Source organism: Homo sapiens, chromosome 8, assembly GCF_000001405.40.
Source record: "Homo sapiens chromosome 8, GRCh38.p14 Primary Assembly".
Classification (NCBI taxonomy): domain Eukaryota; kingdom Metazoa; phylum Chordata; class Mammalia; order Primates; family Hominidae; genus Homo; species Homo sapiens.
Window position 1 is genome coordinate 14,851,107 of NC_000008.11, and position 12,052 is coordinate 14,863,158.

General features: G+C 36.0%; 1 protein-coding gene and 1 non-coding gene across 5 annotated transcripts in view; both read right to left on the minus strand.

The window, feature by feature from the left end:
• The window catches only part of SGCZ (sarcoglycan zeta), a 1,153,587-nt gene that overhangs the window by 766,262 nt on the left and 375,273 nt on the right, over positions 1 to 12,052 (minus strand). The gene's annotated exons all lie outside the window — the stretch shown is intronic.
• MIR383 (microRNA 383) lies at positions 2,332 to 2,404 on the minus strand. The gene has a single exon (NR_029875.1). It is a non-coding gene; the product is annotated as a microRNA 383 (primary transcript).

The following is a 12,052-nucleotide window of genomic DNA, read 5'->3' on the forward strand; positions in this document are numbered from 1 at the left end:
CACCTGTAATCCCAGCACTTTGGGAGGCCAAGGCGGGCGGATCACGAGGTCAGGAGATCGAGGCCATCCTGGCTAACATAGTGAAACGCTGTCTTTACTAAAAATACAAAAAATTAGCCAGGCATCGTGGCAGGCGCCTGTAGTCCCTGCTACTTGGGAGGCTGAGGTAGGAGAATGGCATGAACCTGGGAGGCAGAGCTTGCAGTAAGCCAAGATCATGCCACTGCACTCCAGCCTGGGCGACAGAGCGAGACTCCATCTCAAAAAAAAAAAAAAAAAAAAAAGAAAAAAAGAAAAAAGAAAAAAGTATTCAAGGTAGTGATATGATCACATCTATCTGGAAAAGAAATTAATACACTGATATTTAACTTTGGCTTCCTGCAATACAACAGTACCTTTACCAAAAGACTATCAAAGATTTATTCAAGCCTTTGTAAATAATGAGTTGTTGAAGATTTTGAAACCCAAATGGTTTTATCATGCTGTTTACTGTCCTGTCAAAACACATTACCAATTAAATAGATGGGCATTGTATTTCACAAAGAAAATATATTTTAATACTTTTGTATCTTAGAGGTAATCCATTTATAGAACATGATTTTCCATTTATATATATCTATCCTTTGTGTCATTATTATCATAGTCTAATGCTGGAGATGTTTGGACTTCAGAGCGAATACTTTCCAGGGAATCTAAGATGGTGGGGAAAGGATATTGTGCCCATCTTCTCTCATTTCATGACTTTTCCTCCGAGAACAAAACAGTGTTATATGCAGGATAACCAGTTTTATTAAAGAAGAGTGATGATAGCTGAGATTCTTGATAACACACAGAAGAAGTGTATTTGACATAAGAAAGTTTATTAAACTCATCTTTGACCTTTGTTTTTTTCCTTTCTAGGAAACAAACTTTAGCAATCAACTTGTCCCCTCAGGTTAAAGATTCCATTGTTTTCATTTTTTAAGTTAGTACACTGTTGGTCCCTAAACTTCTTTGATCAAATTATTATTTTTTTAAAGAGGCAATGCTTTAAGACTTCTCCTGCCAAGTCAGCTCCAGAAATAAAATCACAAAATCTCAAGCGCAATATTTTTTCAGTGATACAAAATAATTTCTGTAAATATTTGGAGCATGTACTATATTGCCTTATGTTCAAGTCCAAGAACCATCTGAAAGGTAGAAATAGTTCATCAAGGTAAAATGTATTCTACAGTCATAATACTTTGTAAATAATTTATAGGACAAAAAATATTCAAAGATATCTCAGTTGATATATGGCTACAGAATATTCTTATGCTTCTAAATATTAAGGAAATAGTAAACTGTAACTCAAGAAAGGAAGCTGTACTTATTATATGTGATTGAGTAAAAGTCTAATCAAAATCAAAAATTAATTCAACAAAAGTTGCCATCGAGTACACACCAGCCCAAAGTAACAAACACCCTACCAACAATTGCCTGAAAATATTCTAGAATTAATTTTCACCTCAGTTGAACAATTTATTGACTTTTTTCCCTGCACGCCAGATGCCTATAGTCTCCCCTACAAACATCTTGTCTTTTCCATTTTTGTTCATATTTAGTTTTTGGCAACCACAGCTTGTATAATTACATTATGTTGGAGCAGGACCATATTAAGGAAACATTGCAAAGTACAAAAAATTTTCTTTGGCTCACCTCCCATCTGTAGTGTTTCATGGAGTAATAGCCTTTCTCTGCATCAAAGTCTTTCCTGGATTCCTGTGGTATTGTTCCCAGAATCTCCTCGTCTAAACTCTCCTGAAGCGTTAGCTCCTAAACACATATGTTACTATTTCTATGGGGCTTTTCCTTTACTAGGAATGGAAAACACTGTTGAGATGATCAGATATATACTGCTGATGAGGCAGCCACACTTACCAGCCAGAGGCCAGCTCTGCTTCTGAGGATACATAGAAAGTATATTCCAATAGCGGCCTTTGCATGTGTGCATTATAGCAGCATTCATATTTGAAGAAAGTCAAATTAAAGCATGCATATAAAACTTGTACTATTTGCAGTTTGAAGATTTTGCCCATGAATTTCAAATGTCTGCATGGAATCCCAAGTTATTTTCTCTTTATGGTATAAAAATGTTAAAGAGTGGGGAAGAGGAGGTAATGATCAAAATGCTCATGTGAGGAAACAACTAGGTATTTTATGAGAAAGACAAGCTTCCAAACACAGGTTAAACATGGCACTTTTCATCTCACCTGAAGCATGCTGGCCACTCCAGTCCACCAAATGCAGTTCCCTTGGGACCTACGCTGGATGGATACCCAAGGTCTCATGAGGTAAAGGCTAGGACACTTGCTCTTTCTGACCAGGCAGTGCTGTGGCTGATTAATATCCACCCAAAGCCACAATCACCTTCTGATCTGAGGAGCAGGTGACGGGGAGATTCTGAAGTCTCTTGATAAATTATGCAAACATAATCAAACAATACACATTGCAGGTTAAAAAAAAATTCAGTCACTGAAGTGGTTTGCTTTGTCCTTTAAAGAACTGAATCTAAATAGATTGTCATCAATCATTGGCAGTTCCTAGAATGACAACGCTGAGAAATTAGTATTACATGGGTACCATAGAAGAGCTATTTTCTTTCCTAGTGAAACGCTTGGGAAAGGAGAGAGGAAGGGAGAAAAATAAACAAGGCTTTTCTAACTACTGTTGGAATTTTCCTTTCTCTGTTCTTTCTTCAGATGAACCAGAAGACCAATTTAGTCCCAATATCCAATGCTTTCACATGACTACAGCTTATCCTAAGCCTTCCTTCCTCCTTGCCAATACAAAATACACACCTTTCAAGGATCTTTCAAGGCCTATATCAAAGGTCGAAATTTGCCTACTCCTAAGTCATTCATTTTGTAACGACATCAGTTTCTATGTGATTATATTATATATATATATATATATATATATATATATATATCCTTTTGTATATATATTCTAATTTTATATACTCTGTCTAAAGCTACAATATCTCCTTGCACAGAGTCACAAAATGTAAATTGAAATACATTATTGTTATTAGTTTGATTTTTGTGTTACCTCATCTTCACTATTTAGTAATCATCTTAAATGCAGTAACTTTTGACTTGTAAATGTTGGGCTTTTGACACAGAGTTGGTGTTAACAACATTATATGCAAAATGACTCACTTTACTATTTCATTCGCAATTCACAAAACAAAAAGTTAATTTGTATTCATTGAATAAGATAATACATAGACATATCAAAAATATATAATTTGTAGTTTATTTAGACTCAACATTGTTCCACAACATATCTAAAGCAGAAAGAAAAGATAAAAATATACACATTTATTTTTACAATAAATACTGTCAATAAGTTATCAACTAAATATTAAGGCACTTCTTAGATTAATAAAATTAATAAATTTCACATTGTGTAATATTGTTTTCATAATAGGAAGCCAGTGGTTTTCATTATTTTTCAATAGTCATCGTAGATATGATTATTGCAAATATAAGATATTTTGAATACATACAGTAATATAGTTTGGTGTTAAACAGTAGAGAGAAGAAGGATTTACTGGTCCTTCTGATTTCTTTTTTCACTTTTGTTGGATTATTTCAGGAATACCAGCAGGAATTAGTTTGCTATTATCATTTTATTTTCATAGAGAGGAAAGGAGAGAGTAGGTCAATTGGGATCAGTCTCCCAGGGCATATAAACCCGGCAGAGAGTGGCCCTCTTTAATCTCTGCTACCCTAGACATCAAAGGCTGCACTGCCACTATTCACAGAGATATGTCAGCATGTCCACAGGGGCCTGAACAATCATGCAGAGGTCCATGCTATGGCCTCTCTTGGGAAATCCCGCTCCCGACTTTATCTGGTATGCTCTCCCACCTCCCTCAAGATCTAACTTTGATGCAACTTCCTAGGCATCTCCATTATTTTATTTATTTATTTATTTATTTAGAGACGGAGTCTTGCTCTGTCACCCAACTGGAGTACAGTGGCACAATCTTGGCTCACTGCAACCTCTGCCTCCTGGGCTCAAGCGATTCTCATGCCTTAGTCTCCTGAGTAGCTGGGAATAAGGGATGCCAACATGTCCACCTAACTTTCGTATTTTTAGTTGAGACGGAATTTCACCATGTTGGCCAGGCTGGTTTTGAACTCCTGACCTCAAGTGATCCGCCTGCTTTGGCCTCACAAAGTGCTGGGATTTCAGGCGTGAGCCACTGTCCCCAGCCGGCATCTCCATTCTTGATCTGGGTATCAAGTCTCTGTACTTCGTGCTCACTATATACCTAGCCCATTCTGATTTATGCTTGCTATTCCCATGTCAAAACATTGCCCCATTTTACCCTCAACAGTGTCCATACTTGCAGGATAGATTATAGTCATGGGGTTCAGCTTAAAATCTGCCTTGACTAGAAGGTCAATTCTGGTTCTCTCATCTCTAGGCATCCCTTCTAGCCACCAAGTAGATTTTGTTTTCAACACAGACTGAGGCCAACTCTAAAAAGTTATCAAAAATACTTAAAGAAAACATATGGTCAAATTGTGGTTGTATTATTGCAAATGCCAACAGAGGCCTGAGTCTTAGGAATTTTTCCCAGAAATACTCTCCCTTCAGTTTTCATAAGCTCAAAGGCAGAACATGCCCGGTAACATAATAGTAATGTTAAATTCCAAAGGCAGCCTAGTGATGGTTTTTGCCAGCATGTAATTCACTTGATAGAATTCTAAGGCTTTCACTTCTGATGACTCACAATGTTGGTGATTTGAGATAAGACCACAAAAGGAAAAGACCCAACTTTTCATTAAAGGCCGATCCGAATTTTGCAAGACATTTTCCAGTGATAACAAACAATGCTACAATATAGTTACCGACAATTCAATTCCTGTTCAAGCACATAATTTCTCCAAAACTTTTAATTGACGTTTATAACCCTATGACTAATACATTGTAAATTAATCAAAATAAAACATATAATATTTAGGTCGAGGATAGGATTAAGGATGGTGGCTAGGATCAAGATATAAATTCCATTTTAATACACTTTTTGTGGTGTTTAAGATTTAGCTAAGATTAGTTATTTAGCGAAGATAAGTTATGATTCAATGAAAATAAATAGAAGAATCTACATACTGGCACATCGATGATACAGACTGTAACGAATCCTATATTTGGCAGTGGCTTCAGGGGAGATTTGGGAAGGACAGGCCCTTGCTCTTTTTCATCAACCTCTAAAGGTTAGGGTTTGAGGCAAGAAGGCCATTCAAGGAAGAAGAAGTGTACTTAGATGATAAACACAAAAGTTCAGCACTATCACATATTCAAACTATTGCAAATTTATGCATGTGGCCAAAGTTTTCCACACTCAGCTTGGCAAAGGTTTTTAAAACTTGGTATGAGTGACTGCTACTGAGAAGCTGAGCTCTCTCATGTTCCCTAATGAGAATGCAAATCAATAGAGTATTCTGGAGAGCAATATTAAAGCCCTCCCCCAAATAAAGACTGTGAAACCCATTTATTCCAGTTTCTACTGATTGTTCCAATAGGAAATAATTCACAAATTAAATCAGAGTCACTGGGCAGGGGGCTTAGGCAGCAGTATGTTTAAAAGCTCCCTAGGTAATTCTGAAATAGCCAGGTTTTACAAGCACAGGTTTACGCAGACAGTCAACAGCAGGGAAAGAGGTTAATTAAATATTGTTAAGTAATTAAAAGCAAACCATACCTCACTATTTCTGAACATTCAGAAATGCACACCCATACACATATCTAAGACTGAGTCAACAGTCAGTGTCAATAACAGTTATTTCTAGGTCATATGGTTTGGATCCGTGTCTCTGCCCAAATCTGAAGTGGAATGGTAACCCCCAGTGTTGGAGGAGGGGCCTGGAGGAAGGTGATGGGATCATGGGGCAGAATTCTCATGAATGGTTTAGCACCATCCTCTCTTAGTACTGTATAGTCAGTGAGTTCCCATAAGATCTGGTGTTTAAAAGTGCGTAGCGCCTCCCTCCTCTCTCTTGTTCATGATCCAGCCATGTAAGATGGGCCTGCTAACCCTTCACCTCCTGCCATGATTGTAAGTTTCCTGAGGCCTGCTCAGAAACCCAGCGGAAGCTGGCATCATGCTTCCTGCACAGCCTGCAGTACTGAACCTCACTTAAACCTCTTTTCTTTATCAATTACCCAGTTGTCAGATATTTCTTTATAGCAGTGAAAAAACGAATACACTAGATAATGAGATTACAGATGAGAGATTTTGCATGTGATTTGTATTACGATTCTTTTAGTTAATTTGCATTTTCCCAATACTCTATAATGAGCTTACATTGCTTTCACACTGCTAAAATTATTTTTACAAGACTAGTATTAAAACTATTATTTCATAGTAATAGTTCACAGGGCGTTAAGCTTTAAGAACCTCAGAATCACCTAAAATGTGTTTTAAAAAGGTGCAGATTTTAGCCAGGTGCAGTGGCTCATGCCCGTAATCCCAGCACTTTGCAAGGCTAAGGCAGGTGGATTGCTTGAGGTCAGGAGTTTGAGACCAGCCTGGCCAACATAGTGAAACCCCTTCTCTACTAAAAATACAAAAAAATTAGCCCAGCGTGGTGGCAAGTGCCTGTAATCCCACCTACTTGGGAGGCTCAGGCAGGACAATTGCTTGAACCCAGGAGGTGGAGGTAGCAGTGAGCTGAGACTACCCCAGTGCACTCCAGCCTGGGTGACAGAGCAAGACTCTGTCTCAAACAAAAGAAAAGGAAAGAAAAGAAAACAAATGCAGATTTTTTGGTTTCACCCCATACTAACACACTTGAATCTTTTGGAATGGGCAAGATTCAAAAATACTTATTTTCAGAAAAATCCTCATATGATTAAAGTGTAGAAGATAATTTGAGAACATTATGGTCTGTAATGTGAACTTTATATTTATTAGAGTCTCTGTTATAAAAGAAGCTAAACCTTATTAACTGATCTCCTTTATAATAAAATCCAGTGAGTTTCAAGCTTTTTGATCTTGACAACCCTTACGTTCTTAAAATTAGTGAAGACCCTAGAGAGCTATTGTGTATATATGTATACACATATAAAATATATACATATTAATGAGAAATTAAGATAAATTATTTAAATATTAATTAATTTGCTTCACAATAATGAACTCATCACATTAACAGAAGTAATATTTTATTTAAAAAATTCTTAAAACAAAACATTCCAATTAGTAAGAAGAGTAACATTGTTTGACGCTTTTTCAAATCTCTTTCAAATCAACCTTAACAGAAGGCAATTGTAGTGTGACAATTATTTCTGATTTTATTTCCTTGCAGTGTGTTGTTTTAGTTGAAACATGAGAAAAATCTGGACTCACACAGATACAAGTTGGATATAGTTGGCAAAGGAAAGACTATTTTAGCCTTTTTAGCTAATTTTGAATATTCTTCTTTGATATTACAATGAAAGCCAGCACAATTTTTTAAGATTAGTTGCAATGTGTAATCTGAAACCTATAAACGAACCTTTCCTACGTGGTTGCATTAAAACCACTGGTTTGTCTATTTAGTGGAATTTTTACCCAAGCCTGATTTTGTAACATAATACATTGGTCATCTGGAAAATACTGGTTCACTGAATTTTACCAATTTTCTAAGTAGTGACACATTTCATTATATGATATCAAAATGTCCGCTTTGTTAAATGCCTAACCGGTTTAACAAAAAACGAGTTTTATATCAAGTATTTGTTGATCTAATAGTGGTAGGTGCAAATTTACCAAAATTCTAATTTTTACATGAAAGCTCAATGTTTTTCTTTGGCAACAAATAATGTCAGTTTTCCTTTGATTATAGATTTACTTTGCTAATTTTTGAAAAAAAGACCTAATATTCATATCTGAATAACTTTTCTGTCAGTTATTATTTTAGGTCAAAATGGTATTTCATGAAAAGAAAATAGCAACTTCAGTCAACATCCCAAACAATGCCAGAAGTCCTTTTCCTGAAGACAGCCATTGTGCTCTGGTATGTTGCAGAAGTATTTTATGCATACTCTCTATTTTGTGACACAGATTATTAAGAGAAACTTACTTGAGGGTCAAGATTCAATAAAAGCAGTCTTTATCACTGCTTTATCAAGGATATTCTCAAGCTCTTAAGAGTGTATAGCAGTAAAGACTATAGTGACCACTAGCATATTTTGGGACCATTCATTTGATTCACATTAAGGTACTAGCAATTTAATCTACCATAACTTTTGTACTGTCATTGAAGTGTCATAAAGATAAAAAAAAAGGTAGACAATACGTTATTACTATTATAAAAACTAGTTTAACCCTAAACTCCCTTGAAAGAGTCTCAGGGACACATTGGACTCTTCTTTGGAAGACTACACTCCCCAAATCCCAGCCCTGATCCATACAGTAAGATTCATAGACAAAGGGTTTCCTTCCTTCTATTACAATAATGCCAATTGTCCCAATATAATGAAAACTCATCGCTAATATGCTCCAAACCTTTGGCTCCCAACAGTTCAGTTCTGTGTTTACCCAGTGTCCTCTAAAGAAATTCCCAAAGTTACATCTGCATGATATATGTATTGCAATGATTTTATAAATTCATGAAATAATATGTAAGCCAGCGAAATATGAGTGCAAAATAATCTAAAAAGGAAATGATATTGGAATCGAAGCTCCACAAAAAGAGATACTTTTACTTTTTAATTTACTATTGTACCCTCATATCTTGAATAGTGCCTGGCATATAGTAGACACTTAGTAAATGTGCATTGATTAATTGATTTTGTGGTTTCTATGAAAATTGACTCAGATGTCTTGAATGACTCTATAATTTTTAAAAGTCAAATTATGTGCTAGGAAAGCAAAAGTAAAAGATAAGGAAAGAATTGATAAGAATCAAGGAATCAGCGTTCCCAATCCTTTAGGTTCCCTCTCCACTTTAAAGAAACAGAAACTAGAAAACATAAAGATGCTCTGTGGCTGTGGTACACATACAGAAATTAAAAACTTACTCTAATTGACTAAAAACTCGAAGAAAATGCTACACAAAGTCTTTTTTTTTGTCTTTTTTTTTTCTTCTTATTGACATTTTATGACCTTCGTTCGAAAATGCTTACCAGATACTGCCTGGATTTCTACAAGCCTTTAAATTCACTCCCAAGAGCAATTTGACGCTAACTACATTTTACCTTTCTGATGCATCACCACCATCTAGTGTCTGGAGGTGGTAACTGCAGACTTTAATTGACAAACTGGGTTTTAACTTCAGAAGACAGGAAGTGAGAAAAATGGAGGGAGGGAGAGGGAAAGAGAAGAGAGAAGGAAAGAGAAGAGAGTGAGAGAAGGAAGAGGAGAAAGAGAAAGAGGAAAAGAGACAGAATGAAAAGAGAAAGAAGGAAAGAATGAAAGAAAGAAAGAGAAAGGAAAGGAAAGAAAGAAAAGAAAAAGAAAGAAAGAAGAAAAGGAAAATGAAAAAGACAAGACAGAGAAAAAGACAAAGAGAGAAAGAAAAGACAGAAAAAGAAAGAAAGAAAGAGGGAAAGAGAGAAAGAAAGAAAGAAGGAAAGAAAGAAAGAGAAAGAAAGAAAGAAAGAAAGAAAGAAAGTAAGTAAGTAAGTGAGGGAGGGAGGGAGGGAAGAAACTCTCTCTACCAAGAACAGCTTCATGGGCTGTGACCAACATAGTTGCAGAAGACCCCACGCTCAGAAGGGCCTTGAACTTGGTTTAACACTCCAATGTTTCCATTTTAAAATTCTTAATCACTTTGTCTTTGAACTTTTGTTTCCAAGGTAAAGTCTGATGAGACAATGGACATTTACATGAGCAGATGAGCTTCATACAGTAGGTATCACTGCTGTTTCTTGCCTTCGCGTTTAAGTTTAGTGTTCGCAATGTCCCTGCAGCACAGAATTGCAGTGAGCTCACGATGCTTGAGAGTTGAGAAACACTTGATGTAGATGCGTACGAGGTGAATGTGTTACGTCTGTGACTAAGACACTACACTTTGTGTTGGAATTAAAACTTACCCCAAATGGAGAAAACTTGTTTCTAAGAAACATAAATGACCAAGAAAGACTGTCACATCCATTCTTACACATGTTTTCCTTGTGTTAACCAATCACATGTGTTCAAAATAGTGACAAAGAAGAACATGGAAAGAGTCCCTTCTTATTTAGGTCCTTCCTGAAATTGAAGGTAGCAGAGAGTGTTGGTGGAATGCACATGTGTTAACAAGTGAAATAAAGAATAGAGATAACTTTGCACAGCGGTAAGAATGCTCTTGTAAGAATGAAATGCGTATATATGTATGAGCTACAAAATATACATTGTATATTTCAGTGATCTTGCATATTAATACATGATCTTATTATGCCTCTAAAACTGGCATTGCATGACATAAAGAACAGTAAAATTCATGTTAATAATTAAAATACTAATTTTTCTTTACATGGAGTGATATTAAATAGCAAATATCATTTTGACTACCTGAGAGAGATTCCGTAAAAGATAGAAACATGATTTCCATTTTAGAAACTTTAATAGCAATTTTCTCCTGCTTGAACAAGTGGTCTTGCATTTTCATTTTGCACTGGGACCCACAAATTATGTTCTTTAGACTTGCACGTGGTGTTGCTAAGCTTCCCAACATCGAGATATTCCTTAGGGGGTGTCAGGCTATCAAACTGTCAGTTCTTCTTTGGTGAAAGCTGTAATAATCTGTTCCCTTAATTAAAGAGTTCCTTTCTTCTCCAAATAGGATGGAAAATACATGTAATACTAACTGAAATGGATATTTTTGTTAATTTATACCAGTGAATCTTTGCTTCCACTATAAAGGCACATTAAGAAGAAAACAGAGCCAACACCTGAATTCCACCATTGGAAAAAAAAAATAGTCTGTAGTAACATTTAAAAAATGATGAAGACAAAATTTTCTTTTAGCAAAATAGTATTTCCTATCACTAGTGACGACATTAAGTCATTCCCAGTGCCTGAGCTACCATTTGGTAAAATTAGTAAAGTTTTAAAGAGGTGTTGATATAGGCCACCAGAAGACCGTAGAAGGGCTTTCCTATTATTCAAATTGGAAACCAAGGCTCTGAGAATCTGAGGGTCATTTAGTGATTACCTACTTCTGAGCATACTGCACCACTTCCTCCATTTGAGGGACCTGTACTTTGACCAGGAGTACAACACAGACACCTTCCCAGTGGCACAACAGATCACTAAGTGTGGCTGTTGTGCAAATGAGAAAAATGGAGAACATCATCTATGCGTTTAGTCACCATATGCATGGTATAATGCACGAATTATTTGACAAAATAGAATAAATTTAAGTATAACAAGAAATGAGACCAAATTTCCAAGTCGCCTTTTATGAAACAAAAATTGCATCTTTAAGATATATATATATATATATATATATATATATATATATATATATATATACACACACAATTGCAAAACATACATTTTATATATATATATGTGTTGCAAAAAAATTTTCTCAAACCCACTTTTGTGTTTGGACTCAATATAAAATGACTGCTGCAGAAATGATTATAATTAGAAGAAATAATGTAGTGATTATAATAAGGTTCAAAGAGGCCTTTCTCACATCTTTGTGTACTGACGAGAGCAGGAGGTGTATGAGCAGAGAGAAACCTGCTTTCCCCTCTAGACACAGTCACTAGTCACTATAGCTGGGGACAGCAACAGCTCATCTTACAGAGAAGCCACTAGAGGAAATTCAAAATGAATACATGTTCTGCTTTTGAGAAGCAGCTCGTTCAGCTGCTTACAGAGAAGATATGCTTCAGAGTTGACTTATAACTTGTGGCCTTCCAAGTTGAAGGGAAATAAGAAGGAAATCAATCAATTTTTGAAATCATATTGATTACTGGGATGATTGAGAAGCTACAAGGTGAGTTCATCGCTCGGTTATGTATCTCACATATTTAAAACATCAGAAACACTGACTTGCCTTAGGTCACACAGCCAGGAATGGGCAGTGCAGGGCTTCCA